The sequence below is a fragment of the Homo sapiens genome, chromosome 13 (assembly GCF_000001405.40).
Source record: "Homo sapiens chromosome 13, GRCh38.p14 Primary Assembly".
Classification (NCBI taxonomy): Eukaryota; Metazoa; Chordata; class Mammalia; order Primates; family Hominidae; genus Homo; species Homo sapiens.
Window position 1 is genome coordinate 33,608,436 of NC_000013.11, and position 25,700 is coordinate 33,634,135.

General features: G+C 40.2%; 1 protein-coding gene and 1 long non-coding RNA gene across 4 annotated transcripts in view; one reads left to right on the top strand and one right to left on the bottom strand.

The window, feature by feature from the left end:
* Nucleotides 1-3,343, top strand: part of LOC102723406 (uncharacterized) — a 57,046-nt gene extending 53,703 nt beyond the window's left edge. The window contains exons 5-6 of one of the 2 annotated variants that reach the window (XR_007063750.1): nucleotides 1,998-2,193; nucleotides 2,332-3,343. This is a non-coding gene — a long non-coding RNA (uncharacterized LOC102723406). The remainder of the gene's footprint in view (nucleotides 1-1,997; nucleotides 2,194-2,331) is intronic. The other variant, XR_001749811.2, reaches the window with a different exon arrangement.
* The window catches only part of STARD13 (StAR related lipid transfer domain containing 13), a 573,658-nt gene that overhangs the window by 505,299 nt on the left and 42,659 nt on the right, over nucleotides 1-25,700 (bottom strand). The gene's annotated exons all lie outside the window — the stretch shown is intronic.

The window sequence follows — 25,700 nt, forward strand, 5'->3', positions numbered from 1 at the left end:
AAGAAAAATAGGAAGAGGGAAAAATAGGGGAAAAATCCATAAGACTTTATAAAATTTAGTAATTTTAAAAGTATAGAACTGATTCAGAGATAGAAAAGTAAATCAATGAGCAAACATAGAAATCAGCACACAAAATAGGGAAACAATATGACAGGTAGTATCATAATTCAGTGGTGATAAGGTAGACTCTTCAACAGATAGTGTAGAACAGTTCATTACATACATGAAAAAGTTAAATCCCTATTTCATGATATACAAATTCACATTCCCAGATTCAGGCTTAAAGATTGAAATTAAAAAAAAGAAAGTCTTAGAGTGAAGCATGGAGAAATCTTCATAGAACTAAAAAAAGGATGAAATATTGATACAGGCTGGGCCCGATGGCTCACGCCTGTAATCCCAGCACTTTGGGAGGCCGAGGCGGGAGGATCACAAGGTCAGGAGATCTAGACCATCCTGGCTAACACGGTGAAACCCTGTCTCTACTAAAAATACAAAAAATTAGCCGGGCGTGGTGGCGGGCGCCTGTAGTCCCAGCTACTCGGGAGGCTGAGGCAGGAGAATGGCGTGAACCCGGGAGGCGGAGCTTGCAGTGAGCCGAGATTGCGCCACTGCACTCCAGCCTGGGCGACAGAGCGAGACTCCGTCTCAAAAAAAAAAAAAAAAAAAAAAATATTGATACATTTAACTACATTGAAAATTAAATTTTAACTATATTAAAATTTAAAAGACACCATAAACAAAGTAAAAAGGAAAATCATATACTGGAAAATGTGTAGAAACCACATATAAATTGCAAATTTATTTTAAAAACTCTGCAATAACACAATAGAAATGTCGCAAAGTATGTAAATACGCAGCTTAAGCAAAAAGCTCAAATGGACAACAGCATATGAAAATATGCTCAACTTCACTAGTTCTCACGGAATTGAAAAGTCAAGCGGCCAGGTACCACTTGAAACCGTCATGTCAGCAAATACAATTAATCGGGTGCACTAAGTTTTGGTGAAAATCTTGATCATTGCTGGTGAGCTTGAAAATTAACATAGCCCTCTTGGAGAGCAATTTGTCAATATTTGGCAATGTTGAAACTGACCTATGGCCCAGGAATTCTACTTCTAATTTCTTTCTTTCTTTTTTTTTTTTTTTGAGATGGAGTCTCGCTGTGTTGCCCAGGCTGGAGTGCAGTGGCAGGACCTCGGCTCACTGCAAGCTCCACCTCCCGGGTTCACGTCATTCTCCTGCCTCAGCCTCCCAAATAGCTGGGATTACAGGCACCCACCACCACGCCCGGCTAATTTTTTGTATTTTTAGTAGAGACGTGGTTTCACCGTGTTAGCCAGGAGATGATCTCTGTCTCCTGACCTCGTGATCTGCCCGCCTCGGCCTCCCAAAGTGCTGGGATTACAGGCGTGAGCCACTGCGCCCGGCCTCTACTTCTTCGTTCTTTAGGGTCTACTCCCATATACACTAGGCATGTGTGCTAGTGTAAATGTACAAACATGCTAATTGTATTCTTTGTAATTTAAAAAGTGGGGAAAAAAGTCATGCTCCTGAATAGAATCGATTTAAAAAATAATTGTTTTTATTGAAAAGTTTATTAAACAATCTTAAAGCTAGATTTACATTGATATTCACAATGATAAATTCCTAAAGTGGCCGGTTAAGTGCAAAATGTAAATTGTAAAAAGATATTTAAAGGATATCATTTACATAAATTTAAAAACCATGCAAGATCATATTTAAATAAAACTATGCATGGAAAAAATAAGAAAAATCACGTGGGAACAATATAGACAAATTTAAGGAGGTTCACTCTGGGGAGGGGAGGGATGAAGGTGGGGCCTTACTGTATCTTCAAAGTCTTACTTATTTAAGGAGAAAAAAAAGCAAGTTGTTTCCAGTAATACTAACATCTAAACATCTTGGTGATGATATATTTGTTACTTTTATTGTTAAAAACAAAATTTCTCATTTTATTTTGCATTTTGAAAAAGGAGACAGGAGGAGAGAAGAATCATGGACTCCCTGGGCACAGCACCGCAGGTGGCTTTGCCAGTTCTCCCAGCCCCGCGCTGCTCCTGCGCCTGCGCTGAGCCTCCACGTGTCCTCAGGAGACTTAGCCTAGCCTGGGTATCACCAGCAGTGGGCCAGGCCGCTTTGCCTTCAACTCCCAACAGTAACCTTGCAGAGGTCAGCCTGGGGCCACCAGGAGGAGTTAGTAAGAGCTTATCCTGTGGGGGCACTCACTGGGGCTGGTGGCCGGGAAATCCCAGGTGTTTTGTTGGTTTGAGTTTTGTTGTGTTTTTATTTTTCTTCCGCTGAGATCAGGACTGAAGCAGGGACGCAGTGCTCAGCACGCCCAGCCCACCGCGGGCCACTGCGCGGAGAACCTCTGCCAGGGTCGCCTGCTCACGTCCCCTAATCCGCTCCTGGCGCGCGTTCCTGTCCTCCTCCTGCTGTGACTAGTGTGCATGGAAGGGCACAGTGGTGGCAGAAAGACTTGTGGCGAGATATCAAGATCCACAGGAAGTCATAAGAGAAAAAGCATTTTGTTTGAACTCCACCCACTGACCTTTTGTGGGTGAGCTTTCGGTGAAACAGCAACATCCTCAGAAATCTTAGAGACACGGCTTTGTAACCCGGGGGAGAGACACCGCTTCCAAATATAATTGACGTGGCTTTCCTGCCTTAATTCGGGGTATCCTTTTTCCACCACATAATCTTCCCTTTGTCCGCGCTGATTCCTGTTTAGTTTGGCAGGGCCAGCTGCTGGCAGGCTCCCCCAGTGCTGAATGCTCCGCGCTCCACTGTGCTGGGCCTGCTGAAAAAGCAGACAGCGCTCCCTCTCCCCCAGAATCAGGAGCCAAATGCCACACCGATTGTGCAACTTGTCTCTGGTTACCAGGAAAACGTAAAGAAATGCCAATGAAGCAGAAAGGTCGACAAAATTCTTTCCAACGCTTGAACAAAAAAGGTATTTTTAGGGCCCTAGATTTATGGAAGTCAATTCTTCCACTCCTCGCCAGGCTTTCAAACCTCCTATTCTTTGCACTACATTATTTGAATAAACCGTAAATACCCTTAGTTGCTCTAATAGCAACTGCTGGTCCATATTGTGCAAGGCGGCCATGGTCTGAAGACCTTGTTGAATTTGAAAGACAGAAGTTCCGTTTCTGGCACATAAACTTGAATCAGGGCTATAGTTAAGAGTGCCAGTGAGGTCCACATTTTGACAGCTAGATAAGCAGGTCATTTATTCAAAAGGACTTTGAATCCATGCCCAGAGTCAAATGCAGTCCTTTGTAAAGCCCAGCAGGCTTGAAATAAAAACTTCTTAACTGAGTTGATCAGTGTCCTGCATTTTAGGGGTCAGGAAAGTATTTATGATAAGTTGGAAATGGACAGGGCAGGAAATTCTGGGCCTGGAAGGATGGCTTCCTCACCAGGGACCGCACCACCATATTTTCTAATTTGTGTCTTGAGGGAAAGTTTATATTTTTTGCTGAAAATATTATCTCCTTGTGACAAAACCACAAGTCTGGGAAGAGAACACAAAAGGAATAAAGAACAAATGAGATCTGTGATGCCTCCTGGATAAAACTTTAAAAACCCATAGGCATTGATCAATCCAATTTACTGAATAAATATGTACCAGGTGTTGTGTTAGGTTCTAAGGGGCTAAAATAACTAAGATACTGAACTAAAGTAGAACTATTGGGCTCCTAATGTGATAGTTTTTCCACTATAGACAGCCCTCTTCTTCCAAGGGTCCCTGCCAGGGCTTCCCCTACCCTAAACAGTGCCTTGGTAAAAATTAGGAAAGTCACCCCTTCCTTAAGACACTTGACTTTCCAACAGTGCCTTGGTAAGAATTAGGCGAGTCCTTAAGACACTTGACTTTCCTCTGGCAGAAAATTGCAAAGAAAGTGTGCACAAACCTACAATGTGAATGATGCCTTCCTGTGTGTGTGTGCCTTTGTTTAGGGCACAACCTGACCGGTCTGATCATCAGACACGGTGATCCACACTCAAGATGGGAAAGAAAGCCAGGGGCACAGCCTCCTGGAAGCCCCTACTCCCTGCCTCATCCACACCTTGTTGCAAAAACCGCACCATCCTTTAAGACTTCTCCATGAAGCATCACTTCAGGGAGGCTGTTTTCTTTTTCTCTTGTCTATTCCCCTTCTGGGAATATACCCATTCACCCTGGCCATCAGACAGCCCTGTATATGTCAACCCAAGGTCTCACTCAAGCTCTCTCTCAAAGGGCTCCTGGGCCCCATGCAAATTTAGAATGGAGTAAATTTGCATTAAACAGTTTAATGTGTTGCAGAAAATATCAGAGAATGGCAAACTCCTGTGGCCTGGACTTCTCAGAGTACACAAAAGACCGAAGACTGTTCTAACTTCACAGATGTTCTGTCAAAGGCTCATGTGGCCCCCCAGATAATCTGTTATGCAAGTAAAAACAGTTAATAAGTTGCCTAAAGGCTCGTCTTCCAGTCATTTTTTCCTCTTTAGATCTGAAAGAACTCTTTTGAGCAACTTCAAAGTTCAAATTGTGGTATTAAGTTTGAGTTGAAATGGGTCCTTTCTCTTTTTCTCAGAATTATACTGAAATGAATGTGCTCTGCTGCATCCTGGCATGCACTGGAGATGGGGGTTAGGTCAAAAATGAATAGGATGGTTCCTGCCTTCAAGCAGCCAATAGGAATAAAAATACTTTGCATGTGTAGTTTCCAAATTGTTTTCACATATATCACAACACCCACAGCAGCTTTGAGAGGGAGATGTTATTACATATATTTTATAGGTAAAGTGGATGAGGCTCAGAAAGGGTGAGTCTAAGCTTACACAGTAGTGAATTGAAGTGACACCCGAAACTCTGCTCTAAATTTTATCTTTCCCCAGGCTGAAGCTATAGTCCACAGAGCAAAGTAGTGTGATTAGTGTCACCTTAGTAGTGCAAACAAAGTTGTGGGCACAGAATTAGAGGGAGTAGTTTTCCCTGAGGGTGCAGTAAGGTGGTGTGAGGAATGGGGAAATGGAAGAGAGAAGAGATAGGGTTGCAACTGGTGAGTCCCAGAGGAAGGGCGAATGGCAGCAGGAATGGCCTGGCTTAGCCAAGCACCCAGAAAGGAGAAAGTCAGGCCTTGGTGAATGTTGAGTGGATAACCAAGCACCATTGGTCTGGAAGCTTGAGGGCTGGTCTGGAGGCTTGCAGGCTGTCAAACTCTTGAAGGAGTGAGAGAATGAAGGTCCTGACAGGACAGGCTTTGAGCATAAAGTGATTTCAGTGGACGTGGGAGCCACTCGGATAGTGACAAGCTCAGATTTGTGTTTGGTGGAGAAATGTTAATTTAGCAGCAGGGTGAGGAAGGGATTATCAGAAGGGGTGGGAAAGGACACAAAAGAACTTCCAGGTCCTTTTAGGGCTAAAAGTGCAGATGTGAGATCTCAACCCAGGCAGCAACAGTGGGAGCAGAAGGCAGGGGAGAAGCATGAGATTACAAAGAAACACACCTCAGCTGTTTTAGGGTGTTCAGATGGGGACTTCTAAGTGCACATGAACATAGTCAGTTGTATTCTTTTCCAGTGGAGGGATCCTAGCTTTCAGACATCCCCTTTTGTGGAAGCCAATTAAATGTTTTAAAATTAAAGCAGATTAAAGCAGAGCTGATCTGGCCGAAGAGGGGTGCTTGGATGCCTGGTGCTCCAGCTTCCTGAGGTAGAGCCCTTGGCAACCAGCTCAGCTTGAAAACCAGAGCTCCAGTGCTCCAGCAGGACCCGAAGGCTGCCTAAATAGACCGTATCTCTATGGATACATTCTCCGTGTGTGTGTGTGTGTGTGTGTGTGTTTCTTGGAAAATTGGAATTAGAGTCTTTCCTACTGTCTGTGATTGATTGCAGCCAAATATTGCTATGTAAAAGTTTCAGAATTTCAGGATCCAGAAAAGTAACTGGTCCCTTTGAGACCAATGTTGACCCTACTTGCATTTTCAGCCAGCTGGTGGGCCACAGGTGTTCACTGAGTGTGGATTCTGTGTCCACCCTTCCGCATGTCAGGGGTGCTGCACTGACTGGCAAAGTCTCAGAGCTCAAGGAGCTTCTGTATTAGTGGGGGACACAGGCAACACATATACGTGAGCAAATAATACTTTTAAACATAATCAAGTGCCATGAAAAAAACAAAACAAAACAGGGTAATGTGATTGAGAGCCAAGGAGGCCAGACAATCTGACAAGGTGGTGTTTGACCTGTGATTTTCAAGAAGCAGAGGCTCCCAAGTAGATCTGGGGGACATACATTTCAAACAGCAAGGCCAGCAAGCATCAAGTGCATGAGCCTGGTGCTGGCTCAGTGTGCTAGAGGGTCAAAGACAAGGCTGGGGAGGGGTGAGTGAGTGCAAGAGGGAAAGAAGATAGGATTCTCGTTAGGCAGGCACCGATCACATGGGGCCTGGCTGGACCAACCAGTAGGATTTCATTCTAAATGTTTTTGGAAACTGTCAGGGTCCAGTTGACATGGTAGGGCTCACCCAAGCTGCCAGGTGCATAAGGGACTTTAAAGGACAAGAATAGAAGAAAAGAGGCCAGTTAGGAGAGGGAGGATACTGACTTGGACAACAATTTAATCAACAAGAGAATAGGGTTAGAGATATATTCTGGAGGTAGAGTCAACAGAACTTACTAATGAATTTAAGTGGGATGTCAGGGAACAAAAGCAATCCGCAAAAACCCCTGTGTTTTTGCCTGGAGCAATTTAGTGGGTGGTGGTGTCATTTAAAGAGATGGGGGGACTTGAGGGTGGGAGTCAATTTGGCCTAAGGCAAGGGTTGGGGACTGTGGGCAGAAGCCATGGTTCTGCTTTGGCTCCTAAGTAGCAGAGGTACAGGAGGAGATGCTGAGTGTGGACAGCTGGTTGCTGATACTCAGAGGAAAACTGGACTGGACATATGGATTTTTAAACTTAAAGATCCACAAGCATTATCTTTGAGTGCTTACTATGTGCTTGGCACCACTGATTTACATAAAAAGTATTTTCCATTGTTGGAGAAGTGCTTCTCTGCTGAGAACTGGCTCCCAGAATAGCACAGAGCTAAGACAGAACTGGGTTGTGCCTTGGGCTGGATAGTGAGATGGAACACCCCACCTGTTACCGAGAAGAAACTTTCCAGGGTAACCATCTGGCATCCTCTGCAGCATGCCAGATCTTTGGCACAAATCTGTCTTTAAAACAACAACACAATTAAGCTTCTGCAAAGCATGGTGCTGTGCAAATCCAGTGTTAGAGATATCATCATGACATCCAGGTTCCTTTCCAATAGCATCGCTCTGCACCCAAAGAAGCCTTTCAGTGTGGTTTGTGTTTAACCTCAGATGGAAATAACTATGTGGGAAAATAAATTACTCAAGGGCTCAAAGTACTATTCAGACCAATTAATACTAATTGCGTACCTATAGTATTGCCAAGTGTTTAATTTCTTTGGAATAATGCTTGATGTTGCCAGTCCTTAAATGAATCAGCTTGATGTTGAGAATGTCATACCATCATTTGTATAATTTGTATTATTTATTTTGTGTTGTATTATTTAACATTTGCTAGTTCTGTCGAGGAAGCCAGGCAAAGCATATTAAAGACACATTTCTTGACAGAATTAGATTTGCTTAAAAAAGAAAAAGGAGGAAAGGAAGGAAGACAGGGAAAAAGAGAGAGAGAGAGAAGCAAAGAGGAGGGGAGGGAAATGGAGGGGAGAAGGGAGGGAAAAGGAGAGGAGAGGAGAGGGAAAAGGGGAGGGGAATGGGGAGAAGGGAAGAAGGGAAGGGGAGCAGGGAAGGGAAGAGAAGGGAAAAAATAAAGCAAGAAAGAAAGAAAAGAAGAAAGACCCTCTCTAGCACCCTCACGTAAAGTGAGATCTCTAGGGACAGCAGTGTGCTGGTGGTTTTAGTAGTCAGCAAGAAGCAGATAATAGACAACAAAGACTTTCTGCTCTTCCGCATATTTTCCATTCTCTGAATGGGAATCTCAGAAATCTAGACTGGAAGAGTTTTGAGAATTATCCATCTATCCTTCTACCCATCCATGTATTCAGTCACTAAGGAGAAAATATTTTCAGCCATGGTGGGGACAAGGCATGGGAAAAGTCTATGCCATCCATGGCAAACACTGTCTTAGGCACTTGGGTATTTGTTCATTCTCTTTACGTATTTATATTGTGCCTACTACAAGCCATACATGGTTAGGCTCTGAAGATACACTTCAGAAAAAGATAGATATAGCCTCTGCCTTTAAATTTGTTTATGCTGTAGTAATTAAGTAATTACATGGGTATTAATAAATCACAAAATACATAACTAGAAAAATAGTCTTTATTTTAATTGAATCAGAATCCATAACAAGAGGAACTCACATGGGTCTGGGAGAAAGGACAGGTCGGGAAAAGTTTCCTCAAGGAAATAATGTGTCTTTTGAGACCTGAGTGATAAGTAAAATGGACCAGGCAAGGGGACTTGGGTAGGGAGCGTCCCTAAGGAACTGTGACTCCAGATAATGAGGATAGGGTACATCTGTCAACAGGTGGAACAGCACCCTATGTTATTAGTGCCATTAGCGTGGTTTAAAATGGAACTATAAGCGTTGAGTGCTTTTATTCTTAGTTTATCCTCCTTTCCCTGGGTTTTTGTTTTGATTTGGTTTTGATTTTTAAAAATAATTTAAACTGCCTGGGGGCTGAATCATAATTTGATCACTTAGTTTGTGATCATGGGCTGACTCAATAACACTATAAGGTGGTTGTGATGACTAAACGAGTTAATAGTGCCTGGTACCATGTACAGTGTATATTAGGCACTCAATAGGTTTGGTTCCCTCCTCCCATACATAAGCAATCAGTGCTTGTAAACTGCACAGCAAAGAGGTGATATCTGAGACTACTTAATAGTTGAAGAGGCATTTGACTTAGCCCTTATATTACTATCAAGGGCACAGGAACAGAATGTTATATTCAGGAAACATTACACTCACACTGTACTACAATAAATCCTTCTTGTATTTTGAATCTTTTTTACTTTGTCCTGTGCTGCAAAAGAAAATTATCTGCTTTGAAATGACTCAAATAATTAGGTTCAGCTCACCCATATCATCATTTTTTCTTTAACCCAACTGATTAGTAACCTGAACTACATCTTCAAAGAACCTTTGAAATGTTGGATAACATAATCATAGTAGTAACAGCAGGTGGTAGAGATCATGGGGCCATCTTAGAATTCTGCCTATGACCAGAAAGATTTTTTGAGTGTCTACTGAGGACCAAGCACTGGTATAGGGGCTGGGCTTTACCTCGAAGAGCCCCCATGAAATTCCAGCTTTCACAGAGCTTGTCACCTGGGAAGACAGATAAGACGATGCATATGTAAACATAAAATAGAGAGGAATATGTTCTCTCAAGGAATTAAAGCATGATGTTATGATAGAAAATTGGCATAGGTGGTCCTATTTTAGAGCAGGAGGACCTCTCTGAAATGGAGACATTGGAGTTGCATTTTGAATGATATAAGGAACCATCCTTGCAAAAAGCAAAGATGCAACAGCAAAGTTTCTAAGGCAGGAGAAAGCGTCACATATGTAAATGATGAACAGAAAAAGGATTAGTGTTGCTGAAGTGAGCATTCTAGTTGTTAATCAAAAATGATAGGATACTCTAAAATGACTCTCCCATAAAAGTATTAACTCTCCATTAATGGATTTTACACTTGTTAGACTTTTTTCATTATCAAATTTCAGTAATAGTATGCTAGATCATCCTGAAAAATCTATCAATCAACTCTAACAACAAACATTTATTAAGCAACTTTTATATGTCAGTCATTGAATAAATCAGTGAACAAAACAAAATGTCATGTCCTCATGGAACTTGCATTTTAGTGGGAGTGAAACACAAAAGAAAATTTAAAATGGGTAAAATATAAAGTATGTTAGACTGTGAAAAGTGCTAAGGAGAAAAAATAATGTTGAGAAAAGACTTAACAAATTTCTTCTACCCATCCCTTCAGTAATCCAAATGTGCATACATCCATTCATACATGCCCCATATATCTTACATCGATGGCTTGCTTACTATGAGCCAGATATTGAGGATACAAATTAAATAAATTGTGAGACTTCCTCTTCTAGCTATGATACAGTTACTGCTGCCAGATTTGCTCTCTGGCATATCATAAAACTGGAGAGAAAAAAACTGAATCTTTCCATCATTGAACAGCAGGGGAACTGAGGTAAGGAAACGTCAGATGAGCCCCATATTTGTCCTAGCTTCTTGTTGGGGGCATGTTTTGAACTGCAGTGCAGGGAGATAGAGCCCAAGCAGTGCACAGTGCTTTTGCTGAGCTGAGAAGGCTAAGATCAGACTTCAAGATGACAGAAGCATCTGGAACTCTCAGGGCAGGGTACTGAAAAGGAGGGTTCTGAGGAGAGCTGGGACCATAAGAATCTGTGTGTGTGTGTTTTGTGGATTCATGGCCAAGGGATATACCGTGCATTCAGAGGAAAAAATTCCATGAGTCCTAAAAGAAAGTGATTGCTTCAGGGCTGAGAGCAGACCATGAAATATTAGAAGCCATGTAAAGTTAGAAGACAGATTTCTGGAACAGTCAGTTGACAAGCATCTCTGAAAACCGTGGGCATTTCGTTCAGACCCCAAAAGCACCACAACCTATAAGCAAAGACCACACCTCAGATAAGGGACCTAACTTAGAACTAAAGACAAAACTGTACTCAAACAGCCCTAACAAAGAACCAAACCGAGCTTGACAGAACAGGGAAGATTCCAAGTAGTTTACTTGTTTGCCAGACAAAATAATACTCTCTTTAATAAAAGACACTGCAAACTAGACTGGCTCTGTTCTCTAGCATACTGTAAAGCTGCAGAAAAAATATGAATTTTTCCATCATTGAACAGCAGGGAAAACTGAGATAAGGAAACATGTTTGAGCCCCATGTTTGTCCTAGCTTCTTAAGTAAAGTAGTATAATAATTGATTTTACTTTAAATGAACCTAATTAACTTAATTTTAAATTAATAGTTTTTTGATAAGACTACATTATTGTAATTCTTAGAACATCCACTAAAAAGATAGCTAGCTGAAAGTATAGGTGTAGATAAAAAGCCAATAGAGAATTTTAAAAGAATACTAAAAATTTTTGATTTTACAAAAAAGGTAGTGAAAAAAGGGTAAGAAGAGTAAAAAATAAACAAAATAGATGGGACAAATGTAAAACTAATCAATAAGAAGATAGATTTGAGCCAAACCATATCAATAATAATATTAGATGTAAATACGTTAGAGGCCGGTTGCAGTGGCTCACACCTGTAATCCAGCACTTTGGGAGGCCGAGGTCGGCCAATCACTTTAGGTCAGGAGTTTGAGACAAGCCTGGCCGACATGGTGAAACCTCATCTCTACTAAAAAATAAAAAAATTAGCTGGGCGTGGTGGTGCACAGCTCACCTACCCAAGAGGATGAAGTGGGAAAATCTCTTGAACTAGGGAGCCGGAGGTTGCAGTGAGCTAAGATCGTGCCACTATACTCCAGCCTGGGCGACAAGAGCAAAACTCTGTCTCAAAGAAAAAAAAAGAGTGGGTGGAATATTCTTCATCAAATCCATGACCATAATTGGAGATTTTAACACCCCTCTTTCTGTTATTTATACAACTAATAGACAAATAGACACAAACACAAACAGTAAAGAATACAGCAAATTTGAAAAATGCTATCAACCCACAAGACCTAATTGACATTCAAAAAACAGTATACCCAACAATGCAGAATATGTATTCTTTTTCTTTTTTCTTTTTTTTTTTTTTGAGACAAAGTCTCACTCTGTCGCCCAGGCTGGAGTGCAGTGGCGCTATCTCAGCTCACTGAAACCTCTTCTTCCCAGGTTCAAGTGATTCTCCTGCCTCCGCCTCCCAAGTAGCAAGGATTACAGGTGCCCGCCACCACACCTGGCTAATTTTTGTATTTTTAGTAGAGACAGGGTTTCACCTTGTTGGTCAGGCTAGTCTCAAACTCCTGACCTCAGGTGATCCACCCACCTCGGCCTCTGAAAGTGCTGAGATTACAGGCATGGGCCACCATGCCCGGCCAGAATATGCATTCTTTTCAAGTACACATGCTGCATTCACCAAGATAAACTTTGTCTTAACACATTTCACACACTTAAAATCTTAGAGTAATATTAAATTAAAAATAAATGACAATAAAATATATAAATAATAATACATCTAGAAATAAAAAGAAACAATATAGAAATAACAGCTATATGTTATATAACATATATAACAGAATATACAAATATTTGTATAGATAAAATATAATAAAAAATTTAATACATAGAAATGCCAAAAATAGTTGGATATTTAAAAACACATTATATAAACCTATGGATCAAAGAATAAATCCAAAAGGAAATATTAGAAATCTTAAAACATATTTTGAATTAAGTAATAATGAAAACACACAGTATGCTAAAATTTGTGAGATGCAGCTAAAGAAGTGTTTAGAAGAAAAGTTATAATATTAAATGTTTATATTAGAAAAAAGATGTAAAACCAGTAAGTCCCATCTTAAGAAGTAGAAAAAGAAGAGCAAACTAAACTTAAAGTAGAAGAGTGAAAATTAAAAAAGCATATAAACTGAAGTAGAAAATGTGTAAACAATAAAGAAAATTAATAAAGTCAAACAGTTTTTTGAAAATAATAAAATTGGTAAGCACTTAGCAAGAAAAAGTGAAAACAAATTATTAACATCAGCAGTAACAGAGGAACTATTGCTGCATATAGAAGAATAGTGAAAATATATTAGAAAAAAGTTTCTTTTAATAAATTTGATAATAGATAAAATTAACAAACTCTTTGAAAAACTCATCTTAATAAAACACTAAAAAAAATTTAAAAACTGGCCGGGCACAGTCGCTTACGCCTGTAATCCCAGCACTTTGGGAGGCCGAGGTGGGCAGATCACCAGGTCAGGAGGTCAAGACCATCCTGGCTAACATGGTGAAACCCTGTCTCTACTAAAAATACAAAAAGAAATTAGCCGGGTGTGGTGGTGGGTGCCTGTAGTCCCAGCTACTCGGGAGGCTGAGGCAGAAGAATGGCGTGAACCCGGGAGGCAGAGCTTGCAGTGAGCCGAGAACACGCCATTGCACTCCAGCCTGGGCGACAGAGCGAGACTCAGTCTCCAAAAAAAAAAAAAAAAAAAAATTCAAAAATCTGAGAAGCTTATATATATTAAAAGAATTGAATTTATAATTCAAAACATTTCCACAAAGAAAAACTGCAGGCCCAGATGGTTGCACTTGCAATTTTTTTTTCTTTTTTTTTTGGACGAAGTCTCGCTCTTGTCATCCAGGCTGGAGTGCAGGGGCATGATCATGGCTCACTGCAACCTCCCCCTCCCGGGTTCAAGCGATTCTCCTACCTCAGCCTCCTGAGTAGCTGGGATTACAGGTGCCCACCACCACGCCCGGCTAATTTTTGTACTTTTAGTAGAGAAGGGGTTTCACCATGTTGGCCAGGCTGGTCACGAACTCCTGACCTCAGGTGATCCACCCGCCTTAGCCTCCCAAAGTGCTGGGATTACAGGTGTGAGCCACTGTGGAGGCCTGCACTTGCAATTTCTGTCAAACCTTATAAAAAACAAAAAGAAAAAAATCAACCAATTCCACCAAATGTTGTCAGAGCATAGTGGAAGAGGAAATATTTATCAGCTCATTTATGGGGCGAAAATAACCCTATTACCAAAACCTGACAAAGACATTAGAAATGAAGACCACCATCTGTATGAACATAGACATAAAATCTAACACTTTAATCTAGTAAATCACTCCAGTACCGTGTAAAAAGAATAATAAGTTGACCAAATGGGCCAGGCTCACGCCTGTAATCCCAACACTTTGGGAGGCCAAGGCGGGTGGATCATTTGAGGTCAGGAGCTCGAGACCAGCCTGGCCAACATGTCGAAGCCCCGTCTCTACTAAAAATACAAAAAACTAGTCGGGCGTACTAGCAGGCGCCTGTAGTCCCAGCTACTAGGGAGGCAGACGCAGGAGAATGGCGTGAACCCGGGAGGTGGAGCTTGCACTCCAGTCTCGGCGACAGAGCGAGACTCCGTCTCAAAAAAAAAAAAAAAAAAAAAAAAAGGCTGGGCGTGGTGGCTCAAGCCTGTACTCCCAGCACTTTGGGAGGCTGAGGCGGGCGGATCACGAGGTCAGGAGATCGAGACCATCCTGGCTAACATGGTAAAACCCCATCTCTACTAAAAATACAAAAATTAGCCGGGCGTGGTGGCGCATGCCTGTAGTCCCAGCTACTCGGGAGGCTGAGGCAGGAGAATCCCTTGAACCAGGGAGTCAGAGGTTGCAGTGAGCCGAGATCACGCCACAGCACTCTAGCCTGGCGACAGAGCAAAACTCTGTCTAAAAAAAAAAAAAAAGAAAGAAAATGCAAAAATCAGCTGGGTGTGGTGGCACACGCCTGTAGTCCCAGCTACTCAGGAGGCTGAGGCAGGAGAATTGCTTGAACCTGGGAGGCGGAGGTTGCAGTGAGCTGAGATTGTGCCATGCACTCCAGTGTAGGCAGCAGAGGGAGACTCCATCTCAAAAGTAAAATAAAATAAAATAAAAATAAATTGACCAAATGGATTTTATCTCAGAAATGCAATCAGTGAGATCGATCAGATAATTTACCACATTTAAAGAATAATATTGCAGAAACATCTTGAAAATGAGATATAAAATGTTTTAATGCCATTTTCAATGTCATAACATGCACAAACATTATTTTGAGACCCCAACATAAAACTTAAAACCACAAATTTTGTAGAAAAATAATACAAAATATTTTTCAACTTTGAAGTGGGTGAAATTTGCCTAGAAAAGACACAAAAAGCCCTAAACATAAAACAATGATAAATTGAACCTCAATAAAGTAAAAAAAAAAAAAAAAAAAAAAAAAGTCTGCTTCTGAAAAGGCAAGTCACAGACCAGAAGAAAATATTTGTTTTCTGTGTATGTATGTACATACATACAAAACCTTTGTCAGGTTTTGGTAATAGGGTTATTTTCGCCCCATAAATGAGCTGATATTATTTACAACTACATCTACATATTTAATTTACATCTACATATTTAATTATCTGCATCTACCTGTCTATATACTAAAAAGACAACCAAATCAACAAATGAGCTGATATTATTTACATCTACATCTACATATTTAATTTACATCTACGTATTTAATTATCTACATCTACCTGTCTATATACTAAAAAGACAACCAAATCAACAACAACCAAAAAAAGTGTTAAAAAAAGACTTCACAATAGAAGCTATAAGAAGACCCAATAAACTCATGAAAAGATGCTCAACACCATTCATTATTAGAGAAATGCTATTAAAGACACCAAGATAGCCTTTTACATGGACTAGAATGGCGGAATATTGAAGAGATTGATAAAACAGTACTCCCAGTATCAGAGAGTTGTAGAATAACTGGAGCTGTCATATGTTGTTGAAGAATGTAAAATAAATTACAAACATTTTGGCAAAGTTTGGCAGTGTTTTTGTAAAACTAACATACATACTACACCTTCCAGCAAATCTGCTCCTAGAAATGAGTATGTACGCCTACAAAAAGGCTTATTCAAGAATATTCATAGCTACTTTATTCATAATAGTTATGAGCTGGAAAAAAACTCAGGCAACCCAAACTAGTAACAACCCAAATGTCCTCCAACAAGAGAACAGATAAACAAATTGTGGTATACTCATACAAGGCAGTACTAATCAGCAATAAAAACAAATGAACTACTGATGCATGCATTGCTAAGATACTGACTAAATGTCTGTAAGGGTGATCTTGGACACTTGTGGGCCCCGCTGCGGGCAGAGTGAGGCACTGCCTCTGTGCTTTTCAGTGCTTGAATCCCACCTGTGCTCATCACCATCATGGTGCTGAAAACAGCACTATCAGCATTTATGTATTTGTTTACTTCCCCATCTCCTTACACCAAGAGTTCCTTCAAGTTGGCAATGGTCTTCCTCACATCTTTAATTACCCAATGTCCTGCCCAGCATTGGAGATCTAGCACAGACTCAACCAACATTTATGAAAGAACAACGGACACTCAGATGCAGCTTTTATTTCCTTTGAGCCTCCTAAGGCCAGTACAATAGCTATTCAACAGTGTCTGTTAAATAGCAAGTGAGAGTCATTATTTGGATGTAGGTAATTGGATAAAGTTTCTATCTTGCCAGCAGTTTGTCTAGATTAGTTATAGATAACTTAATCCAAGGCAACTTGCCCAAGGCCACCCAGCTGGTCAGGTGTCAGATGTGGGTGACTGACTAGTTGTTCTTCCCACCTCACTGCAGCTGCCTCCTCTCATAATATGCTCAAGGAGTCAGTGCCTAAAAGTGGTACTTCCTTCCATGCAGAACAACTGCAAGCTGTCAGAATCTGTACAAGGAAGATGTCATCCTGTTTGGCTGGGGTACCTCGGAAGCAGTGGGAGGTGGAGTCCCTCCCACATGCCATCCTGAGGGCAGCAGTGGCAGTTCTTTTGCTTCCTGTCCCTTCTGAGGGGCAGAGCAGAGCCTTTTCTGAGAATCAAGTCAGAGCAAGCCTAGGCACAAGAGTGAGTGGAGGAGGGGTAGGGTCACAGACATTTTAGCCTCTTCATGCTTGAGAAAGAAATGAGAACTCATCTTCTCAGAGGCAAGGGCAGAGGTAGAAGCCCAGCCTGTCCTGAACGAGAAGGGTGACCTTGGCAGTACTCTAAGAAGTAGTCAAGTCCGGGTGTGGTGGCTCACGCCTGTAATCCCAGCACTTTGGGAGGCCGAGGCGGGCAGGTCATGAGGTCAAGAGATTGAGACCATCCTGGCCAACATAGTGAAACCCCATCTCTACTAAAAATACAAAAATTAGCTGGGTGTGGTGGCACACGCCTGTAGTCCCAGCTACTCGGGAGGCTGAGGCAGGAGAATCACTTGAACCCGGGAGGCAGAGGTTGCAGTGAGCTGAGATTGCACCACTGCACTCCAGCCTGGCGACAGAGCGAGACTGTCTCAAAAATAAATAAATAAAATAAAAAAGAAGTTGTCAAAACCTGGGTGTCTGGCCTTCCACAGAAAATCGACAATAATGTCTGAGAGCACAGTTAAACATTAGGTTAATTCTCTTGGTTAGAAAGAGAATTAACCTAATGGTACCCTTTTTTTTTTGAGACGGAGTCTCGCTCTGTCACCAGGCTAGAATGCGGTGGCACCATCACAGCTCACTGCAACCTCCACCTCCCAGGTTCAAGCGATTCTCCTGCCTCAGCCTCCCTAGTAGCTGGGACTATAGGTTCTCGCCACCATACCCGGCTAATTTTTGTATTTTTAGTAGAGATGGGGTTTCACCATGTTGGCTAGGATGGTCTCAATCTCCTGACCTCGTGATCCGTGTGCCTTGGCCTCCCAACAAGAGAATTCTTAAATGTATATTTCTCCCAGTGTCACTAAGAAAATCCAATTTAAAATTATTCTGTTCTGACTTGGCCTTTTATTCTGCCTCTCATGAATGTAAATATAAAACTTTTATATGAGAGACTCTTGGCATTGTCTATAGATAGACCATAGCTACATCAGAAACACACACACACACATCTGCACATGTGCATACACACACAGAGTAGCTATTTGAGAAACAGCTGTGACCCCTTCAAAGACAGGAGGAGAAAGGGAGGAATGGGAGATTAGTGTAAGGACAAAGTCAAACTATCTAATCTTTTTATCCTCTCAGCTAAACAGATTTTGTCTTCCTTCAGTACCTCACGCTTGACCTCCATCTCTCAAACCATTCTATTATTTCTACCTTATCTTTAGCTATACATGAATCTAATTATAGAAAAGATAATAATGCATAATGATCAAATGCATGGGCTGAACCTCCAATATTTGAGAAAATTGTTGGTGAAATCTTCACCTACCTTATTATCTATCTCTCTAATCCATCTGTCTAATAAAATGAAAACCAAATCAATAAAAATGAGCAAAATAAAGAAAATAAAGCTGTTATTACATGCATCTCCAGAGAAAGCTATTACTGCAAGTGACTCTCTTATTTTAGAAAGTGTAGGAAAGTATTTTTCTGTGAGTGGGATTATATAATCTTTACCTACTCTTGGAAGCCAACCTAAGAAACATGTCATCCACTCCCCTTCCTCATCTTTGCAAGTGGTGCTATATGCCAGCAGGCTGAGCATTGTCATTACTGTAAGAAAGAGTATGAATTAATCCAGCACACATCCCAAATTCAGAATAACAAATCTGGAATGTGGAGGCCCACCTGTCTGTGGGTCCATGTTGAGAAGTCTACACTTTTGATTACATGTTTGCCTATTTGTAAATGACAAGATTTGTCCTGCACTAGCAAAAAAATAAAATAAAATAAAAATTCTGGCCATCAGGACTAAAGAATCCATAAAACTTAGAATAGTATAGTTACAAAATTGGTTCTGATAAAGGGAAATAGAATAAACCTGCTTCAAACTTCATCAATCATTGTTCCCTTTATCATTTTCAGATCATTAAACCAGCTTTTAATCACAAACACTAATATTTTATTGTATATTTTCTGCTTAAATCTAGACAGTGTTAGCTTGGCATTGACTTTCCCAAGTAGCAGAATTAGTGATATTTTGAATGATATAAAGGGTATTTATCTATTCTTTCATTAGCAAACATTATGTAAGTAGTTACTATGTGTGTAGCATAGTGCTGTATTGTAAGGTAACTGTCTTCAACATCCAGGTAGGATTAGTTTCTCCACTTGTAGATAGGTACATCTATGCTATAACATATGTATTATGTCCTTGGCTGGGTATGGTGGCTCACGTCTGTAATCCCAGCACTTCGGGAGGCTGAGGTGGGTGGATCACGAGGTCAGGAGTTCAAGACCAGCCTGGCCAAGATGGTGAAACCCCGTCTCTACTAAAAATACAAAAATTGGCCGAGTGCGGTGGCGGGCACCTGTAAGTCCAGCTACTCAGGAGGCTGAGCCAGGAGAATCACTCGAACCTGGGAGGTGGAGGTTGCAGTGAGCTGAGACCGTGTCACTGCATTCTAGCCTGGGTGACAGAGCAAGACTCCATCTCAAAAAAAAAAAAAAAATGTTCTTTTCTGCCTCAAGATAGGTTGAGATTGTCCTTCATGGCCCTGGACATGGTCCAAAAGGTGGAGAGGCCTCAGTGGTCCTTTCTGAATGTGAGCACCCAAGCCTGCCCATTGGCCTAGCCCTTAATTTATGTACATGTGTCATTTATGGCCCATCCTCCAGGGCTGCACCGTGGGGCTCCTGCCTTTTCTGACGTACAGCAACCACAATAGTGAGATGAACATCGAAGCTATTGGAGAAAGTCCCACCACTATAGTGTAAATCAGCCTAGATTTACTTTGCGTAATTTTAGGCTATTTCTTTTTTTTCTTTCTTTTTTTTTTTTTTGAGACGGAGTCTCGCTCTGTTGCCAGGCTGGAGTGCAGTGGCACGATCTCGACTCACTGCAACCTAATTTTAGGCTATTTCTAAGACAGTCATCTTTTGGTTGAACAAGGTAATGAGTTGGGATAAATATATCTTTTTTCATTCCTGGACTCTCTCTCTTGTAAAACACACACACACACACACACACACACACACACACACACACACACCACATGCATCATGGACACATATACTTCTAATGTTTTTCTTTTATTTATCCCAGAAATTGAACTAGGGATGCCCCTGTCTCTATTCTTTCTGCTCTGTACCTGGTACTAATTAATTTATTCATTAGTATTAATAACAAGCCTGGTCACTTTTCATCCAGTCATGTTTGTTCCCTCCACATCAGAAAGAACTCTTGTGACCAACATCAAAATTCAAGTTCAGGTATGTGTACGAGTCAGAATGGGTCCTTCTTTTTCTCAGAATTACATTGTAAGGAACCTATTCTAATAGGCATTAAAGTAACTAGCTTTGGCTTCACTCAGCAGGAATCTCACATAATCAGAATTGAATGTGACAAAACTCAATCCATTCTGTATAAACAAGAGACACCTTAGAGAAATCAAATCTCTTTGAAGGACTGAAGTAGGAAGGCTAAGAAGAAGGTACACCTGATACACTCTTTCTTTCACTCTAACAGGCACCTGAACCTCCGTGGCACAGCAGATGGGAATGACTGACGTGGCTGAGCATTCATCTGCCCCAGGGAGGCACCGCATTGTAGGGGATGAACAGAGACTTTTCAATCAGATAGACCTGCATTCAAATCCCAGATCAGTCTCCTACTGCCTTTTGATCTTAGGAAAGTTGCATCACTCTTCACCAGAGTTCCAACCCTGAGTTTCATTCTCTGTCAACTGGAAATGGAAATAGCTATGATGGTAGCGAGGGTTACATGAGATGCTATTTGCTCAGTGCCAATGATCAATAGCAGATGGCAGTTATGTGATTACGATTACTGTGGGATCTTTTCAAAAGAGGGTCGCCAGCAGCTTCTTAGCTATGTTGAGCTTGATTGTCTGTGAAGGCAGAGGCCTGGGTGGTAGCTGCATAAAGAGACAGCTCTACTTCTTGTATGTCTTGGGTTGTAGGCCAGGTCCCCAGTTCAACTCCTCCTCTACATGAGGCTACCCCAACTCCACGGGCCAAACGCCATAGGAAAGCAGATATTACATTTAGAAGTCCTGATTTCACTTTTAACTATACTTCATTGGTAAGACAACAATAATGTCAGCTCATTAGCAAATCAACAAATAACACTTTAACTGGAAATTACTGGACACTATTACTTAGACTGTCCTGGAAGAGGGCTCTAAAGTGTGTCTCCATTTAAACTTATAAGAAAATTGCCAAGAGCTTATGTGTTGTCTTGTTTAGAAGTGAATACAATGCTGCCAGCCATATGTCTTTTAGATTCTAGCTTGTTTGTTAGAGATTTCTAGATAGAGCCAAATTTGTGGCTTGGCCTTAACATAAATATTCAAATGATTCATAAGGATTTTTTACTGGGCTTTCACTTTGTCTAGAAACTAATATGCATGTGTTCTAGAAAAAACACTAAGTTTTGAGATTAAATCTATTTTAAATTAAGTAAGAGATAAATGTGAGAATTATGTATGAGACTATATGGCATTCCTTGTTATAAGCATATAACCTATAAGCTGGTGTCTTTAGATGTGTAAGAATATAAAGCAAACAGAAAAGAAATACTGCTGAATTTTAACATCATTTTTTGAACTGTCAAGAGCCAAGGAATAGCTGGGCAAAAAATCAATACTGTCTCATTGCCTCTTTCCCTGACCCCTTTCTATCTGAAACACTATCTCCGGTTGTAAATGTTTAATTTACTTCTAATGTGGCAAAAATCTCAGGTTTGCAGTTTTCTAGATGAGTAACACAAGCTCAATATCATTTAGTTTATGAATATAAAAAAATAAAATGCACGTCAAAGGCAAATGAAAGCCTTTTATTGAATCTGATATAATTTACATAATATGTTCTGATAGTCCTTGTTATTCTTTCACATTTACATAATTTTTGTATATTTACAAAAGTCTTCAAGCTTGCTTTTATGGACTGTTTCTCACAGCCACCCTATGAAGTAGGTGTAGTAGCTTGCTTTAAAGCAAAGTGCAAGAGGAATAGAAAAATGAAGTGTTTCCCAGAGCGACTCAGCAAAGCAGCTGCTGATCCAGATTGCAAATTCCTGGTCCTGCGTCCCTCCCTCATTAGCCACTAGGTCCCAGCTCCTCTCATTTTTTTGCATCCTCAGACACTCCTTTCCCTCTGCCTATTTTAATGAGGCCCCTGAGACCCTCTTTTGGCCAGCTTTCCTACCTCTTCACCACTTTCCTAGCCCCTAGGAAGCTTTTCTTTAAGCCTAGGAAAAAATTAATTTGCTGATACTTCTTCCAAATTGGCCTGCTGCCGCCACCACATAATGATTTTCCCTTCAGAGGTGTAGATTGCGTACCTTGCGTGCAGAGATTCAACGTAGTCACTCTGCAAGATGCAATATTAGGCTCTGAACCACATTTCACCAAGTCCCTAGTGACCTATAGCCACTTTGACTTGCTAATATAATTTTATCCAAGAGTTATGGGTAGGAAAAATTAAATGAAGAGGAAGAATTTTTGTAAAGACCCAAGTCTGTGGAATTGTATCTTGTTCTTCATAGTGCTGGATATGTGCTAGCCGGTAGAGCCACCTACTGAAACACAAGTTTTCTTGTACACCTTTGGTACTGAGAGCCCATGAGTCCCACCATCCTAATCCTCCTTCACCTTCCCTCATCATCTCCTTGGCCATTATGTGGTAGATGCAAGAAAGACATTTGTTTCTCTTCTAACACGTTTCCCATCCTTGTCTTACTGGTATAGTTACTGAGATAGAAAGATTCAGATCTTCCTAAGCAGTAATTAACTCATTGGCATTCATTATGAATCCCTTTGAGATATGAGCCTGCATTTAAAAACAAAAACCAAAAAACTCAGTCTTTGTAAATTAGATCCCATGTTCTGCTGTCAGCCCAGTGTGCATTATATACCGGTGGAAATAATCAGTGCTCTGTCCAGCCCTGGAAAGTGTTAAATAAATCACACAGTTTTATGAGCTTACAACAAGACTCACTTGGTAGCCTCTTTCTTACCCAATAATCTTTTACTAATAAAAGCACTAGGGATTTATAAACACTACATGTACTTTTAGTGATCTTCCAAAATATGTTACCCTCCTTCCTTCTGAAGAAATGGCAGGTTGACACCTATCTATCTAAAACCATTTATCCAGTTCTCAAAATAAGCAGGTATTGTGCTGAACTAAAACCAAAATTGTCCGGAGTATTCATAAAATCAGGTAGACATTTAAGAGTATGATTTCCATTTTCTTTTCTAAAAGCACTTAGAATAGCCTCTTCATGTTCTTACATTGGTAAATCATGTATAAGAGATATGGTTTCATCTTCTTGGTGATTACGGAAGTGCTGAGCATTCCAGGTCCTAATGCTGATGCCTATACCTCATGGTACAAGACATGTGAATGCAGTTATGAGCTTTGGGCTCAACAGTGCGAAACTAGGGAATAACCTAGAAGATTTGTGTTTGTTTATTTTAATCAAATGTCTATGATAGTTATATTTGTTGAATTTGATTAATTGAAATGTAGATTTCTGGAGTACAACAACAAGATGCTATTAATATATGCTATGATTTTTTACTTTATTTCTTTAAATATCTATGTAAATACAAAAGCTTCTAGTATTCAAAATACCATATTCAGAGATCAGGTTAAAATATTTTCATGATATCTGGTGAGCACATAAAAGTAATTTGCGTTAAAAATTTTGGTTACAGTAATGGGAAGAAAGAATGCTTCATGGTAACACACTTCCACTAAATTTGAAATAAGAAGAAAATCACCCATCATAAAAATTTAAATAGAGTTTATCAGGTAATGGTCACAATAAAAATTCCTGATCGTAGTGTTGTCAAAGGAAGCCAGTTTTTGCCATTTAATGGAATCATTACTTTGCATTTACTAGCTTTATTTAGCAAATGGTGCTCAATGATACAAGTTGATAGTGATACTATCCATCTATAGTTAATACATATAATCAACACACTGTAGGCAATTTACTTAAAGCCAAAGAACACATATGAGTAATTGAGGATAGGCTAAGACATGAACTCTTGAGCTCTCATAAAATCACATTTCCTGAGCCATTCCTCTTGCTTGCTCCCTATGGAAAATGTTCCGGTACATTCTAGCCTAGTGAGCCAATTCATCACCAATATTCAGCACTACTTTGACCCAATATTTTATGTAGAACCTTGTGAATGAGTCTATGGTATTCTTCCAGAATTATATAGTTATAGTTTGATATAAATTATAAGGTGACCATGAATCATATTCAGAATATCATTGGTAAGCCAACTTCCTTTCCACTATGTCTATATTGTACCTACATGTCTTTATATCAACTTGGGTGTATTCAAGGGATTTTGCTCCAAAGTATCCCTTAAGTTCAGAAAATGGGTTGGAATCTAAGTGGGAGCAAAAGCTTTTGGTGCTTTCGTAGAAAAAAGATATTCACAAAATTATCACCAAACTTGACCACTTCTCTTCACTGGCATATATTTTATTTTCTAGCCTTCTGATTTGTGGGTTTTACTCTGCTAGAAAAATGTATTTCAGGGGAAATAAATCAATTGGCTACCTACTTTCCTATAAGTATAAAGTCTCATTGTTTTTCTACAGATTGATCACTATGCCATGATGTTCTATATTCTTTTTTTTTTTTTCATTTCTATTTAAGAGGCAATAAGCAAGACGTAATTTCTTTCAAGAGCACAGTGATCATTCATGGAACTGAATAATGATCAATGAAATGATAACCCAAGACCTGAATAAACATAGCATTAATGCTAGAAAATGTCAGTGCTGTCACTTCAAAAGGGCACAGTGTCACTAGACCAGGCTGTTATTTTTTATTTTGTTCAATGGACTTATCTTGAAATTCTCCAAAAATTTATTTAATTCCTACTAAGAGGGGTATGTTGTAAATAACAATAATGATAAAAAGTGCTTGATAATATTGGCTGTAGTATTCAGCATGCCACTTACTGCATTTGACCCTTGTGGGTACTTAGAAAGCCCTCACCTTCTAAATTCCTCTTGTCATCCAAATGCTGCCTAGTGCTAAGGAAAGATTTGATGGTTTCCTTTATTCACTTGATATCCTCTTTTTTATGGTACATAAATGGAAGTTCTAAATGAATGCTAGAGCCTCATATTAGATTCTTGTAAATGGAATCGTAGATCATCTCACTTCTGCCTTAGTCACAAGATTGACTCCAAGTGTACCTAACACAAAGAAACAACATATACTGGCCTCTAAAGATATACATATATACTTAGTCATTATCCAGTTTAGTGGATATTAAATTGCAGGAAAAAAGTGGAAGAAAACGCACATTTGCCGCTAAATGTCCTTCACAGATTGCATCTGCAGCTTCCTTTTTTGTGTTTAGCTCTACATGAATGATTGGCATAACTTTTAAAATGTAATCACTGCACATAACAACTAGGTTATATTTGATTGCATCTTCTGAATAATGTTTAAAAAGTAAAAGGCAGATGTTATCATGTACTTTCCTCTCAGGCTGGTTCCAGGTTTTTTTATTCAACAATTTTATGTGAAAGGCAATTGCAGAATGGAAGAATTTAGCATGGTTTCTAAGGTCACAAGGAGAAGGTGACGTGACTCTGCAAACAGCACCCCCAGTCTTGCCTCTCTGCCCAGGGCGGTGTTATTAAATGAGTAGGCACAGTGGAGGGCTCATTTTCCCTCCTGACCACCCTCTTGGGGCTCCCTGTGTGACCTCTGTACACTGGGCTTTCAGAAGGCCACAGAGATGACAACAAGACCACATTTGTTTTTATCTTTCAGTCAAATAGATTCATCAGACAGTCTAGACACTACTCTTTTGTCTATCAGAGGACAAAACTACATTTGATGATTCAATGATCATTTTTAATGTATTGAAAAGAATTTTTGTTAAAAGATGGCCATCATATAAACATGGATTGTTTAAATAACCTCATTTTTC